This window comes from Homo sapiens, chromosome 21 (genome assembly GCF_000001405.40).
Source record: "Homo sapiens chromosome 21, GRCh38.p14 Primary Assembly".
Lineage (NCBI taxonomy): Eukaryota > Metazoa > Chordata > Mammalia > Primates > Hominidae > Homo > Homo sapiens.
The window spans coordinates 34,609,269-34,625,658 of record NC_000021.9 but is presented as its reverse complement, the minus strand read 5'-3'; the positions used below and the strand labels follow the sequence as shown (position 1 = coordinate 34,625,658).

General features: G+C 45.2%; 1 protein-coding gene across 3 annotated transcripts in view, besides 2 other annotated features; it reads left to right on the top strand.

The window, feature by feature from the left end:
• Positions 10,312 to 10,741: a silencer, noted in NCBI's record as "silent region_13270". NCBI's record gives its function as "represses an Ori minimal core promoter by ATAC-STARR-seq in GM12878 lymphoblastoid cells {active_cell/tissue: GM12878}" and the evidence as "EXISTENCE:reporter gene assay evidence [ECO:0000049][PMID:35858748]".
• Positions 10,546 to 16,390, top strand: part of RCAN1 (regulator of calcineurin 1) — a 98,672-nt gene continuing 92,827 nt past the window's right edge. Inside the window, exon 1 of one of the 3 annotated variants that reach the window (NM_004414.7) lies at positions 10,546 to 10,899. In NM_004414.7, the coding sequence (NP_004405.3) occupies positions 10,648 to 10,899 (252 nt within the window). In that variant the 5' untranslated portion in view covers positions 10,546 to 10,647. Of the gene's footprint in view, positions 10,900 to 11,212; positions 11,382 to 11,815; positions 11,873 to 16,390 lie in introns of those variants that run through there. The other 2 variants (NM_203417.2, NM_001285389.2) reach the window with 2 other exon arrangements.
• Positions 10,932 to 11,031: a silencer, noted in NCBI's record as "silent region_13269". NCBI's record gives its function as "represses an Ori minimal core promoter by ATAC-STARR-seq in GM12878 lymphoblastoid cells {active_cell/tissue: GM12878}" and the evidence as "EXISTENCE:reporter gene assay evidence [ECO:0000049][PMID:35858748]".

Here is a 16,390-nt window from a genome sequence, read left to right as displayed (position 1 = left end):
GCCAGTCCTCACACAAACAGGCAAGTGTCTGGCAAGGATGCCTGCTAAGAAATGGTATGAAGCTATTTCTTTTTTTTTTTTTTTTCAGGATTCTTTTTACTTATTTATTTATTTATTATTATCATTATTATACGCTGTGCACGTGTACCCTAGAACTTAAGGTATGAAGCTATTTCTAAGGACATAAGCAGAGATGAATGGCAAGAAAGGAACAGAGCTGGTACATCTCCCCTCTGCGCATGAGCAACTGCCAGCCAGGTTACAAGGTTCGAGCCATGGTGATGATTTAACATAAATAAATAAACCAGCTTGACCTGGCCCTTCAAGCACAAGATGCCAGTTAACAATGTGTGAGAAAGTAATCACTGTCTGCCAGAAACTTGTGCTACAGTAAGAATATCTTGAAAACAGGAGTTTGGAAAGGTTTCCATCATTAAGTGATTTTATTGCCAAAAAACGATGTGTGACATCTATAAAAGTTCTCATATCTTGCACTTTAAACTAGGAAACACAATTTTATCAGCTGTCTAAAAGCTTCCAAGGGGTTCTGTGAGTTTTAAAACCCATTTGTGAAACATAAAAACGAACAACTTCCAATTAATATGAAAAAACAACTCATTGATGTCAAGGAGCATGGAAATTTACTCGGTGATAATAATAATCCCTTCTAAATTTGGTGGATGGGATTGAAAAATGGATATTGTGATTTAGTAAGCACAGCACTCCATGCTGCTCATGGTTCTCCACGATTTCCCAAAAGGATGAGGCATGTTTAATAACATTACACTGACTAAGACATTGTTAATAAGTCATTGAGAATAACAGGAGATTTTTAAGAAAACAAAATATTTTTGATTCTGAATAAATAAGATATATTTTTCATCGTTTCTCAGCCTTTTGGTTAAGTTCAAGTATAAAATACATTTTTCATTAATTCATTTAATAAATATTTATTGAAGTCCCCCTCTAGGCCCAGGACATTCTAGGCGGGGCAGAGTGGTAGTGAAAATAAACAGCTTCCCTTCATCAAGATTCCACTCTAGATGAAATGAGGATGACAGCTCAAGACATATTTATATTTGTGTTTATTTCTCTATTCTTATACTTTAAAAATTCCTATTTCTCTTTATGTTTTATAACGTGCATTACATATATTTTGGATAGAGTGGAGGAGACAGATAAGTCATAAATACTTGTGTTTTTATTGCACATCATATAATATACACAATTTAATAATACATTGTAACATATCTTATCTGCCTATATTGCTATATTCATGTATGATGTATGAACATATATTCATATACCATCTAGTACATATTAGATACTATAGATTATAATTATGTTGCAGCATGTGTCATATTATACATAAGACATATAAATATATTTGCTTATATCTACTAACATATGTATATATCGTAATTGCATGTAAACATTAATATATATACATATATTTGCATGTTGTATACATATTTGATACTCATATGACATTGATACTCATATGACATTGGTGTGCATATATAATCCTCCTATATTTTTCTAGTCCATTTGTTCTCCCACATTCCTAGAAGATCACTTCACATTTTCTTCTCTTGCCTTCAACACTCAATGCCACCTTCCTCATCCTCACACTCAGACTCCTCTTTTACTGAGAAGATGGAGATGAACACAAGTGGCTTTCACCAGCCCTGCCCCAATATTTCATCGTCCCATGCACTGATGCCCAGGGTATCCGTGGTACATGCTGCTTTCCTTCAGTGTCGATGGACAGATTTGCTTTGCCACCTGGGACCCGCCTCTCTGTTCATGTACCAGGTGCTCTCTCTTTCCCATAGAGATGGCTGCAGAAATTCTCTCCCCCTCCCAGCCCCGGTCATCAAGCTTTCCTCTCTCCTGGATCATCCCAACCTGCAGACAGGCCTGGGGTGGCTTCTCCCATCTTCAACCAAACGAAACCCTCCCCTCACTCCCACTTCCTCTTCCATGTACTATTTCACTTCTCAGTTCTCCTCACAGCACAACTTCTTGAGAGAGTTGCTTACACTCATTATCTTCCATTTTTCTGCTCCCAATTGGGCTTTTACTTCTAAATAATTCTCCAAAATTTATCTTGCCAAGGTCAAAAAGGACTGCCAAACTTGGAAATCCAAACTCAGTTCCCTGTCCCCACAAAGCTGACCTCTCAGCAGCGCTAGTCACAGAGGGCTCTTCCCAAGCTGACTTTCAGCAGCGCTGGTTCCCTCCTCTGGGAAGCCCTTTCTGTTGTTGGCTTCCAGAATACCCCACCTGCCTGGTGGCTCTTGAGCCTCTCTGACCCCCCTTCTCAGGCACCACTGCTGGCTGGTGTCTGAGTGTCACTGTGCCCCTGGTCCAGACCCCAGACTCTCTTGTCAACAGCTACACTCACTCCCTAGGGGATCTCAGTGGCCCAGTGGCTTTAGATGCCATCTAGAGCCCTGTCCCCCCACTGTCACCTCTAAGGGGTCTCTCAATCCTGAATTGCTCCAAAGTAAGCTAAGGATAGCTGTTCCCCAACCTGTCCCTCTCACAGTCTACCTTATCCAGGTTAGAGGCAGCTTCTTCCTGTAGCCTTGGAGTCAGTCTTGATGCCTCCTTTTCTCTAAATATGGCAGATAGGCCGGGCACGGTGGCTCACGCCTGTAATCCCAGCACTTTGGGAGGCTGAGGCAGATGGATCTCCGGAGGTCAGGAGTTCAAGACCAGCCTGGCCAACATGGCGAAACCCCGTCTCTACTAAAAGTACAAATAAAAAATTAGCTGGGCATGGTGGTGTGCGCCTGCAATTCCAGATACTTGGGAGGCTAAAGCAGAAGAATTGCTTGAATCTGGGAGGCGGAGGTTGTAGTGAGCAGAGATCATGCCACTGCACTCCAGACTGGGCAACAGAGAGAGACTCTGTCTCAGAAAGAAAAAAAAAATAGCGATTCTCCTCAGAGCCCACAGAAGGAACACAGTTCTGCTGACCCCGTTTCCCCATTTTAGACTTATGCCCCCCAGAACCATACATTTGTATTGTTTTAGCCACTAAGCTTATGGTAATTTATTATCGCATCCATAAGGAACTAATACCCTGAGGAAATCCTGTTGTCTGAGCCTTCAAAATATAGAAAGAATCTTACCATTTTCTTACCACTTTGGGTCTTCCATCCAGACCCAAGTTCCCACCTTTTCCCACTGGGATGATGGCAACAGCCTCCTGAGAGGTCTCTGGTTTCCACACTTGTCCCCACACAGTGTTCTGTGCACACAGCTCCCAAGTGAGTCCTCCTAGTAGTTGTAAGAAAGATCAGGTTAGCTACTTTCTGCTCAAGCCTCCACCAGCTCCCTGTCTCAATGAGGATGAAACCCAAACTCCTTCCTGTGACCTACAAAGTTCTATATGATCTGACCCTATCACTTTTCTGAACTTTACACTACTCACCCCCTTGATCACTCACCCAGCCCCAGAAGAAACCTATCACAGCCTTTGCAGTGTTGCTTCAACAAGATGAGCAGCTGCTGCCCCCAGGACTTTGCACTTTCTCCTCTGCCTGGAGTGCTGTTTTCCAGAAGTAGCCATGGCATTCTCCCCCTTCTTCAGTCTTCCCTGGTTGCTAGAGCTGAAATCCTCCCTCCTCCCTATTTCCAGTTCCTTTTCTTTGCTTTATTTTTTTGTTCCTTTGTACTTCACCATGCATATCATCAACATCTACATGTTGTATTTACTTATTTTATGTATTGTCCATCTCTCTCCTTCCCTCCACTACCACCACTAGGAAGTACACTTCATGAAGTCAGGGACCTTGTCTGTTCTGTGGACCGTCATAGCTCCAGCATCTAGATAATGCTCTGCACATAGCATCTGTATTAGTCTGCTTTCACGCTGCTGATAAAGACATACCCAAGACTGGGTAATTTACAAAGGAAAGAGGTTTACTGAGGTTTAATGGACTCACAGGTCTACATGGCTGGGGAGCCATCACAATCATGACGGAAGTTAAAGGAAGAGCAAAGGCACATTTTACATGGCAGCTGGAAAAGAGAGAATGAGAGCCAAGCAAAAGGGCCTTCTCTTTATAAAACCATCAGATCTCATGAGACTTATTCACTACCATGAGAACACTATAGGGGAAACCATCCCCATAATTCAGTTATCTCCTACTGGGTCCCTCCCACAACATGTGGGAATTATGGGAACTACAATTCAAGACGATATTTGGGTGGGGACACAGTCAAACTTTAACAGCATCCCAATGAGTGTAGAAGTCCCCTGAGCCAAAGTCAGGCTGAGTCAGGCCCGGACAAGGCTTGCTTAGTGTTGTCACTTTAGCCCTCCTCTGGGTGAGTATACAAGCATGAAGGCATCATTATTCAACACACCAGGCACTATTCAACATCACTAGCAAGTAAGATATGACTTCTACAGTATAGGGTAGAATTAAGGAAGGAACGCATCACAGCAGTTAAAACCCTGAGGGAGGACACTGGGAGAAGTACCAAGGATGCCCTACCCCAACCCCTTAAAGCAAGTTCATCCACCCCACGGCCTGCAGGCTGCATGCAGCCCAGGGCAGCTTTGAATGTGGCCCAACACAAATTCGTAAACTTTCTTAAAACATAAGGAGATTTTTTTTTGTAATTTTTTTTAGCTCATTGGCTATCATTAGTGTTAGCGTATTTTGTATGTGGCCCAAGACAGTTCTTCCGGTGTAGCCCAGACTAGCCAAAAGATTGGACATCCCTGCCTTAAAGGAAATCTGTCCTGTTGGGATTATGTCAGTGACATCAGGCGGATCTCAGGACAGGCTGGCCCAGCAAACACAGGTGGCTTCCAAGGGAAGCCAGGGAAACCTGTCCATAGGGCAGGGATGGGGTGGGATGAGTTGTTAATGTACCATCTGTCTTGAAATCCAAAGAACTCATAACAAGCAAAACAGTTAACTGGTCCTGGATCCAGATTCTGCCCTGGTATTCACTCCTGAGAAGCTGGCCAGAGGGGAAGATCTATTTACTTATTATTTTGTGTTAAGAGGCTGTGACACAGAAGAGAAGGCGATCTTAAAATGAAAACCTGGGACGAAGAGAATTTGAGGTCCTGTCATTCTGAGCCACTCCTCCATGGCAGGCATTAGCTGGGCATGTGTCTGACCTCTGCGGCACCTCTGAAAGGAAGCTATTTATATCACCTTTTTACACACAGGACCTCAGAGAGGTCAAGTGGCTTCCCTGAGGCCAGAGAGATAATAAAGGACAGAGCTGAATGAAGGCCAGGTCTATCTGGCTTCTGGAGAGTGTGCAATACTCCTGCAGGAGCAGTGCTTTTAGCTTGAAACAAAGGAAGACCTTTTGAACAATGAGCGCTCCCTGGAGATGCTGGGGCTGCTGACTTTCAGAAGTGGAGGCCCATTTGCTTATGTGTCCATCCCCCACCTCTGATGGCCTCAACAGGGCCCAAGAAGACAGCCCGCTTCTAGGCAGCATCAGGGTCCATCTTCTAGACCCTTCCCGAGGCGATATTCTCACCTTAGGCTTCCAGAGTTGCCTTACATCCTTAATTTAAATGATCTCCTGTTTAAACTGGCTTCAGAGGTTGTGGTTACTGGCAACCAGAAGACTCCTAACTCAACATAAAAGTCACATGAGTGCCAGCACGCTTCAAAGAGAACTTAGAGAAAGGTCAAAGTCAGTGAAGTTCCTTTCCACACTTAGACAAAGTCACCAAAATCTACTATTTTCCCTCAAATCAAATTTATAACTATCTTTCTAAATTAAAAAGTTTCATAATACCATCAAAAATAACAGAAAATTTTAAGAATGGGTTTTAAGAATGAACTTCGAGTAGGGAAAAAAAGTTCCTATTGCTAAAATAAAACAAAACAATAATAATAAAATAGCATAACATTTTTATTCATTTCATAGGTGGTAACAAAATAGAGCCTTCCAAATGAATTATTTAAGGGGTTTATTCATTGAAGCAGTCTTTGGAACTGTTCATTCATTGTGAAAGCAAACACTCAGAAAGTCAGCAATTTGCCTTCCACCTTAAATGAATTTTTTAAATGTCTATAATTTCTCAGAATGTGCCGAAATGCCTTTGGTTCATTTAATAAACACTTGGCAAGTGACTACTGAACACAGCGTCCTTTAATTTCCAGAATAAAACAGGATGCAACTAAAAGTATCTAGAGTAAAACTTTCCCACCTGGCAAATGAATAGGCTCATTTATCCACGCATAGGCACGTCTGCATAACTGGGCTGCAATTGATGTAAGAGACAGGTGCTAAGAACAAAAATAACCAAACATGGCTTTCTGAGCGCCTCTTCTCCTTTTATATTGGGTAATTGCAATGGCTGACATGAAGGAAATGTAAGGAGAGGAAATGATTGGGAGGTGGTAGGATATATTAATTAAAATGTGTGTCCTTCCTCCATTTGAAAAAAAAAAAAGAATCACTGAGTTTTTTTTTTTTTACCTATTTTGGTTCCTTCCCCTTCTGAAAAGCTGGATCAAATCAGCTCCTTTGAGCCAATGAAAAAGGAAGGCTCTCTACTTAGAAGCCAAAGGGGGAAGCAGAGATGGATCTTACGTGCTGTTGCCACAGCTGGTAAAAGAGGCCCAGCTAACAATTTCCAAAGAACTAGTGAGGAATTTGTACACAATTTATGGCAGCACAGCATCTTAAGAGATTACCCCTAGGTATAGTTGATTTCACCCTTGGAGATGTCTGCAATTGTGTGGAAAGAGCATGTTTTATTTCATTTCTGCCTGTGCAGAAATGACAGCTCATAGATTCGCTTTTTTCTCTTCCTTGGGAGAGGCTATAGTTTATTTTTATTTTATTTATTTATTTTTGAGACTGTGTCTCACTCTGTCGCCCAGGCTGGAGTGCACTGGCTCGGTATCGGCTCACTGCAACCTCCACCTCCCAGGTTCAAGCGATTCCCCTGTCTCAGCCTCCTGAGTAGCTGCGATTACAGGCATGCACCACCATGCCCAGCTACGTTTTGTATTTTAACTAGAGATGGGGTTTCGCCATGTTGGCCAGGCTGGTCTCAAACTCCTGACCTCAGGTGATCCACCTGCCTCGGCCTCCCAAAGTGCTGGGATTACAGGCATGAGCCACCGCACCGGGCTCTCTGCTTATTTTCTTGTGCGAAGTTCATTTATCTCTTTGAGCCTCAGTTCTAAGAATCTGCAGTAATAACACCAGTTTGTTAAGATGATGTGGGCTAGTTTATGTGTACACCCATTAACGATTTAAGAGCTACACAGAAGAGACCAGTATTATTATTGTCGGAGTTATACAGACAAGTAATTGATCTGGTCGGAGAACTAAGAAAAGTCACCCTCTTCACTTAGCTTCCTGGGGAAGTGCAGATGGGGAAGGAGAGGAGAGAGGTGGGGATCCACAGATGTGGAGGGAAATGTTTGGTGTGGTCTGTATCTGAGTAATGACCAGCTGCATTCTGAAGTCAGTTACAAGTAACTGTCCTCACCACTCGCCTGAGGTTGTTCCTGCTCGCTCCTGTCTTAACACATCAGAGAGCCAGCTGCAAGGGTTTGCTCTGCTTGCATTTTGGCTTTCTGTTTTGTTGGTGCTTTCCTTCCTGTTGAACACTTTGTCCAACAGGCCCACTCTGCATGCTGTAAGTGGCTTATGGCAAGCCAGCAATGAAAGAGCATACTGTCCTAAGGATGAAAACATGGACCCACCCAGCGACAGGTTGACCGGGTGTTGTTTTTCCAAAACCAGTGCCTCATCCTTTTGTTACCCTTTTCACAATGCCTGGCCGAGTTTACCGAGACTTTTCGGCTCTGCAGTGTCATCCATTCTGCTGCACTTCATCCAATGTCTTGTGGTCTTTTAAAATACTAGCCTTACTGAAATATAATTTGCATGTCATGAAATTCACCCTTTAAGGTACAATTCAGTGATTTTTAGTATATTCAAAAAGTTGTGCAAACATCACCACAATTGATTTTGGAACATTTTCCTCACTCCCAAAAGAACCCTTCTACCCTTATACAAGTCATTCCCCATTTTCCCCTTTCAGAAACACTGGCACCCACTAAACTACCTTCTCTCTCTGTGGATTTGCCTATTCTGAACATTTCATATAAATGGAATAACATGTGGCCTTTTGTGACTGCCTTCTTCCACTTAGCATAATGTTTTCAAGATTCCTCCATGTTGTGGCATGTTATCAGCATTTCATTCCTTTTTAGGGCTGGAAAATATTCCATTGTATGGATATACTCCTGGTTTGTCCATTCTTCAACTGGTGAACATTTGGGCTGTTTCCACTCTTTGGCTATTTTGAATAATGATGCTATGAGCTTTTGTGTACAGATTATTGTGTGGGCATATGTTTTCACTTCTTTCTTTCTTTTTTTTTTTTTTAGACTGAGTTTTTGCTTTTGTTGTCCAAGCTGGAGTGCAGTGGCGTGATCTCAGCTCACTGCAACCTCTGCCTCCGGGGTTCAAAAGATTCTCTTGCCTCAGCCTCCCGAGTAGCGGGGATTACAAGCATGTGCCACCACGCCCAGCTAATTTTGTATTTTTAGTAGAGACGGGGTTTCTCCATGTTGGTCAGGCTGGTCTGGAACTCCCAACCTCAGGTGATCTGCCCGCCTTGGCCTTCCAAATTGTTGGGATTACAGGCGTGAGCCATGGCTCCCGGCCGTTTTCATTTCTTTTAAGTATATACCTAGGAGAGGAATTGCTGGGTCATATGGTCACTCTACATAGAACTTTTTGAGGACTTGCCAAATTGTTTTCCAAAGTGGCTGCGCCATTTTACATGCCCATCAGCAATATATTGTGAACCCTGAAAATTTGAGACAGGTCTCAATTAATTTAGAAAGTTTATTTTGCCAAGGTTGAGGGCATGCCCATGACAGGCCTCAGGAAGTCCTGAGGACATGTACCCAAGGTGATCAAGGCACAGCTTGGTTTTATACATGTTAGGGAGACATGAGACATCAATGAATGTATGTAAGCAGTACATTGGTTTGGTCTGGAGAGGCAGGACAACTTGAAGCAAAGGCAGGAAGACTACTGCAAAGGCAGGAGGCAGGAGGGAGCTTCCAGGTCACAGATAGGTGATAGACAAACGGTTACACTCTTTGGGTTTCTGATTAGTCTTTATAAAGGAGGCAAATCTGTCTCGGTGAAATGCATCTGTCTCAGTGAGCAGAGGGGTGACTTTGAATGGAATGGGAGGCTGGTTGGCTCTAAGCAACTTCCAGCTTTAGTTTTCCTTAGTGATTTTGGGGGCCCAAGATTTCCCTTTCACAGTATGACGGTTCCAATTTCTTCACATCCTCATATCATATTCTATTTTATGAGTTATCTCTAGATGGGTATTATTATTCCTCTTGGGTTTAGCTCCCTGAGGACACAAACTGTCCTAAGACTATGATAATAGTAATCATAGAACCGTGCACATGGCAAGTTCTGAATAAATCTCAGCTGTTGGATATACTTTTTGTTATAATTACTAACACTTCCTAACTAGAGAGTAAGCCTACTCTAAGAAAAAATATAACTGTAATTTCACAACCTCCAAAGAACCCAGTGCATAAACAGCTACCATTTATTAAGCACTGACTGAATTCTTAGTAATATGTCTTCATTTTTTTCAGATGAGGAAACTAAGATTCAGCTTATTTGTACAAGTAGTTAAAAAGCAAAGCTGAAATTCAGACCCAAGTTCTCACTGTATCATACTGTCCAAAAAAGAATTCTATTTTTCAGGAAGAGACATGTCTGCTCACTTGAGGTCCTCTTATTTTTCCGCTATTCCCCAAAGGAAAGGGGTGATCTCTTAATTCTTTCGTTATGTCCTATTGTACATAGCATATAATGGTAATTCAGAAAAATTACTTCTAATTACATAAATTTTCACAATGGTATAGTGACTAATACGCTGAAATAGAAAAGTAAGGCATTGTTATCATGGTCTAGTTCAGTCTTTATTGCGACTATATCTGATAATATACGGTAAGCATCTAACCACTTGCCAGGGGCCACAGAGCCACAGGGAGACTATGTCTCGCTTAAATTCCCAAAAGTGGGCCCCTGTGCTTCAAAACGTCCCCGCATGGGAACCACAAAAACGTTGCCTCCCCAGTTATCACCCCAAGGGCCCAAGAGCCGAGGACTCTGCCCGGCGTCCTTCAGCTGGCACCAGCTGTCAGAAAAGCGGAACTGGGGACGAGGACTTTGCCCCTAACCAACATGGCCGCCCTGAGGCTTCGGGCTTCGGGCGGCAGAAGGAAGGTCACGTGAAGAGAATTCCGTTCCTTTATTGGCCCCGTCTCCTGGAAGGGCGGGGTACAATAACCCAACCGGCGCCGGCCTTAAAGGGGCCACCGTTGGATCTGCCGGTGGCCGGCCCTAGGGGCTGGGGGGGCGGTCGCCGCGCCGGGCTTCTGCCCCTCCCGCGCGGAACGGTGACGGGCGGGGCTGGCGCTGGGAGGCCGTGTCGCTGGGAGACTGCTGACAGCCCGCCGCCTGCCGCCGCGCGATTCCGAGGGGGTTAACGGCGGAGCCGCCGGCCGGGCGCGGACCGGAGCGCGTGAGGCTCCGGCGCGCAAGCCCGGAGCAGCCCGCTGGGGCGCACAGGGTCGCGCGGGCGCGGGGATGGAGGACGGCGTGGCCGGTCCCCAGCTCGGGGCCGCGGCGGAGGCGGCGGAGGCGGCCGAGGCGCGAGCGCGGCCCGGGGTGACGCTGCGGCCCTTCGCGCCCCTCTCGGGGGCGGCCGAGGCGGACGAGGGCGGCGGCGACTGGAGCTTCATTGACTGCGAGATGGAGGAGGTGGACCTGCAGGACCTGCCCAGCGCCACCATCGCCTGTCACCTGGACCCGCGCGTGTTCGTGGACGGCCTGTGCCGGGTGAGGACCGCGCCGGGCGGGCCGTCGGGGCGGAGGGCGGACACTTGTTGCCCGAGGAGGCGGCGCGGGTCGCAGCGCCCAGTCCCGGCCGCGCGCGGGGCGGGGAGGCAGCGACGTCCCCCGGGCTGCTCGGCCGCGGACCCGTCAGGGCTGGGGCGTGGGGACGGCGCCCCGAGGGTCCCGGTCCCCTAGCACCCCCGGGGCGCGCGGAGCTCACTGCAGAGTCCCACAGGCTCGCCCCGGCCCCCGTGTGCGCCCAGGCTGGTGCGACTAGGGGGGTGAATTCGCTCCCCAAGGTGGGGCAGCGCCGCCGCCCCCTGCGCTCTCGCCATCGCCCCGCATTTACTCGCTGGAGGAGGGGGTCACCTCATTCCTAGGGAGGAGGAAACAGACATTGAGCGGCGACGTGACTCAGTGTTCATAAATAGGACGACGTCCCTGCATTCCCAATCTGCACTATTGGAAGAAAAGCCAATGTTTGGGTGAGGATCCGTGGTTGCTCATTAGCCAGCGGCTGGCCAGTTTTGGTGGAATTGTGTTGGGGGGAAGGGGACCATCTTTCAGACCTTTAGGATATTTAGTCAAGAACCTTGCCCCCTTGTGTGAAGGTGTGGCTTGCCGCCATCGGGGACACCCAGTACATGGGGAGTCGACTCCTTCCCCCGCCTCCCCCCACCCCCGCAAAATCCACACAATTTAGACACTTTGGAGGGTGAGGGGCAGGTATGAGTAATCAATAATGGTGGTGGGGAGGAAGAATTTATTTCAAATCTGCAGTTATTGTGCAGAATAAAATGTGGACAACGTGGGCGTCACAGAATGAAACCGGTCTTTGAGAGATGCCCCATTAGGAGAGCAGCTGTCAAAAAAAGCAGTGCTTTCAGCGCTTGGCTGTGGGTCCACAAATGCTGTCAATGAACTATAGTTGAAGGCTGCTGCCAATACAACACCACTGTGAAACAGAATGGTGTATGTAAGTGTCATTTATTTATAATTTATATGTTCACTTACTTTCTGAAAGGAATTACAATGGCCGTGTGCTTAGGTAAGCTTCCAGGCATGCTTTCTAGAGCAGCAATTGTCAGGAACTCAGGGTCTTACTGATTGATCTTACTCTAAAACCTTTTCCTCTCCATATAAACTAAGCGCTAGCCAGCATTTCAGACCTTTTCCTTAGGAGTTCTAGGCTGTCTTTCTGCTAGAACAAGGTCAAGTCACGTAAGACGGCACTTACTTGTAGTGTTGGAGACAATTTTTTCCAGTGTTGGATACAATCCTGAAATTGTGTTGTATGAAAGTTTGCCCACTTCGCTAGCTATTCATTTTAACAAATATTTATTGAGACTTCGCTACGGGATAGGTACTGTCCTAGGCTCTGAGGCTGCATCAGTAAATAAAATAGCATTTCTGCCTCCAGGGTTGACATTTTTTGGAAGGGAAACAAGCAATAAAGAAATATCAAATGTATCAGAAAGTAATGATGCTATAGGAAAAAATAAGACTTGGAGGGCAGGAGGAGGGAGTGGAGATCTGGGAGTGGAGGGGAGATTGCTATTTTCCATAAGATGATCAGGGAAGGTCTTACTGATATGGTGATATTTTGAGCAGAGACAATGTAGCATTGGTTCATTCAGGCTTTGCTGTCTATTGAGTGCTTACTGTGTTCCAGCCACTGGTTTAGGCCCAGAGGATAAAGCAGGGAACATTTCAAGCTCCTTGCTTTCATGGAGCTTAGGATCCAGTGGTTGAGGGGGAGATAGACAATAGGAAAAAGGCAAGTGAACAAGATCATTTCGGATAGTGATAAATGCGATGAAGAGACTGAAACAGGGATAGAGAGCAAGGGGAGGGGGCTTGGTCAGAGTGGTCAGGTCCTAACACTGTGGGGGTTTTGTTGAAGAGCTGGTGAATTGGGGCAGTCCTGAGGGAACTAACAAGGGATGTCCAGGCCTGCAGCCATGAGCAACAGCTGGAAGCTGGAGCTGGGGGAGGAAGTCACGTGGCTGGAAACCTAGGGGAGGAGCTGCCTGCCAGGAGCTGTAGACTTGAAGGTGTGGAGTTGAGATGCTAAGGCAGGGTACAGGCAGGGAAGAAATTCTCAGGCTTCTGATTTCATTGGCAGAACTCAAAGGACAGCTAGGAGGCAAGGGAGCCCCTGCAGTGGAGTCCATAGGTTGGGTCATCCTTTCAGGGCCCACAGAAGGGTAGATAATGGCTCTGGGGACAGTGTGGATAAAGGGGACTTACACAGAGGAGTTAGTAGGGAGCCACTTTAGATGGAGTGGCCCAGGGAGGCCTCTGCACAGCCTGGACCAGGTTGACAGGAAGAAGCTCCCTGGGGAGGTGTTTGTGTGGCCGGCATCCCGGCAGAGGGACTAGCAGGTGCAGAAGCTCCAGTGCAGGGTGAACTCCATTTTTAAAGGACTTGAAGGGTTGCATGAGAGACAGAGAGGCGATTGGTAGCTGAGGTTGGATAAGCAACCAGAAAACATCCCCCTGGGGCCATGGTAAGGATTCAGGTGTGATTCTAATTGCACATCTTGGTGGAGAATGGCTTTCAGGAGGGAAACTGGGTAGGCTAGAGAGGAAGCAAGGAGACCTGGTAGGAGGCTGTTGCCATCATCCAGGGGAGATAGGAAGGGAGTGGGACTAGGATGGTGGTATTGGAGATGGAGAAAGGGGCAGAGCCTCCATCTGAGCCTCTTCTCTCCATTTGGAGAATCTGGAGCTTCAGAATGGGGATGAGGGAGGGTTGTGCACTGATGTCCAATTCTAGGGTCCTGTGAGATATACAGCAATCAGTGAAAACCCAAAAACCAGGTGGGCTAAGGGAGTCCCAGTCTCTGAGGGCAAATAGCTCTATGCAGTGGGCAACCTGAGAGCTAAAGTCACAGCGGGTCCTTGGTAAGCCTTGCAGCAAGTGGACCATTTCTCATTTAGCTGAAACCATCCTTCTAGGTGGGAATATGTAGTTTCTGCGGTTTCAATGTGGCAGTCTTACTGTTAAGACTGGGGTGTCACCTTTGGATGATGTAATGTAAATGTAAATCTACTTTAGGTTGGTGGTATCTCCCCTTGTGTAAACAGATCATTAACTGCAATGCTGACAAAAGTCCCTGGGGGTCTGGCCGTCCCCTCCTTAGCCAGTCTGTTGGATCTGGAGAGTGATGGTGTGAGGAAAAAAGACTGGATCAAACTTCTTTATATATAGTCACATGATTCTGTAAGCTTAGTCTTCAAGGAAAGAAAAAAAATTAACCTGAACTAGAATTCTTTTGAAAATTTACATCAGAAGCTGTTTTGTAACTATAATTGCTTGGCCAGATATGTAAGATTTGTTTTCATTGGCTGGCTCAGGATCAATATTGTAAATACTGTATAATGAGTTTGTTAATTAAATGTATTAGATTCACACTGTTACAGATGAATGAAAACTTTTATTAAAATATGATTATTTTCTGTTTGTACAAATATTTGATGAACATATTCCATTATAGTACTCTTTTTGTGAGTCTTTTTTTCTTTTCTATTTAGAAAAGCAAAACAATTCAAAATGCTTTGAACCAGTAATTACATGTGCTTTGAATTGCTGAAAATGGTTAGTTGGTTCCCTGGAATAAGAGTTTATTCAGTCATCATCAAGCTGACCAGGAATTTAAGAGTTCTCAGATAATATTCCGTTCATTTCCAAGCAGTGAATATAGTTCCGTATAGTAATGGAAACAAATACCCTTTTTTCAGTTGTCTGAAATATGAATGTATATTTGATTCATAGAGCTTTGCTGGAAGGCTAAGTCAGAAAATTATAGAAAAATTTACTCTTTTCGCTTGAGTAAACTTACCTAAAAAAAACAAAAACAACTCACCTAAGATTTGTGATAGATGTAGTGCTATCATGACTTTCTTTTAATAACAAAATATTCGGATCAGCATGAAAGAAGTAGAAGTGACATCCTTCCATTCTTTATGTGAGTAGAGACCTTTGAGCAGTGCTCCCAACCTTAGCTGCACGTCAGAGTCTCTAGGGAGCTTTGAAAAATTCCCATTTCCAGGCCACTCCAAACCCATTCCAATCTCTGGGGCTGGGAATCGCCTGGAAAGCTCCCCAGGTGATTCTAATTGTTAGCTGAGGTTGGGAACCATTGTCTGAAGCCGGGGTTTGGCCTGACCAGAGGCATCGTTATATCTTAAAAAGATCACTGAAAATTTGATGAAGCTCCACTTCTAGCTAGATGACTTACCCTTTCTGTGCCTTGATTTCCTGAACCGGGAGCCAGGCCCTTGGTCTGCAGGCTTCCTTCTCCTGATTGTTGTTTGACCCTGTGGCCTACAGGCGGGGTCACTGGTGCCCACAGACCAGGAGATGGGGCATTTGGTTTAACCTTAGGTTACCTCCGTTCGCCTTAATGGGTGCTGCTCACTCTCCACCCAAACGGCAGATCATGCACTTGGCCTCCCAAAACTTGTTTTCTGGTCGCAGGACATCATTCGAAAGCAATTTGATGATTGAAGTGTTTTGAGGACCTAAGGTGGCCCTGCTGATGTACATAGTTTCCACTCCTGAGGTTGTATATACTTGGCTGCGTTTCTGCCTGTTCCTCTTCCAAGCCAGTCTGTTGTAGCATATTGTAAAATGTGACATCCTAGCAGGAGAGTAACAGTTGGGTTCTATTGCACTGGAAAATCCAGGCAGTTTTAGGCCATTTTCACTTTTCACCCTAGTGTGAGGGTGAGGCATGCGGTTTCTCAGATTTAAATTCTGAATAAAATTTCCCCTTAAATGATCTTATCTCCAATATGGTATAGAGTTTAATTTATTTGGGAAGGTTCAGAATGTTGTACATTTTTGAAAGCTACATGTTACATATGTGCGAAGTTTATTTTCAGTTTTCCACTATTTCTCTAATTTTAGGGTTTCTGACTCTAAAATCAGATGTTTTTCACATCCAGAGCTGCTTTAAATCCTCCTCACCACTCCACCCCCTAACAACTGCTTGGTTCCCCTCTCAGCTCAATCTGCTGTCACCTTCATTACTTAAAGCATTTTTTCTTCCATAGCAGTAGCTTTAAATGTTACTGCCTGCAACTTCAGGCTTTTCCAGCCTCAGGACAATTACATAAAGGAACAAAAAATAGGCTTTGTGCTAGAGCAGAATAGCTAAGGCAGGAGCTGTTGGTTCCAATGTTTATATTTCAGGCTATATTCTTTGTCTCTTTGTTTCTCTCCTTTTAAAAAAATGTGATCCACTCATTTTCATACATATCACCGCAGGGCCTGTTTGCGCAGGTCTGAGAACGCATCACTCCTGGTACAGTAATAGTGACTGTGCACACATCAGCATGTGTGGGATGGGTAGACCCTGGGTGTACATTGTCTATGCAGAATCATTAGGACTCATCTCAAGGATGCTGAGGAAGTGCCAGTCATTTCACATACAGTTCAGTTGTGAGAGACAATTTTTTCCTTTGTAAATACTAATCACCATCAAAG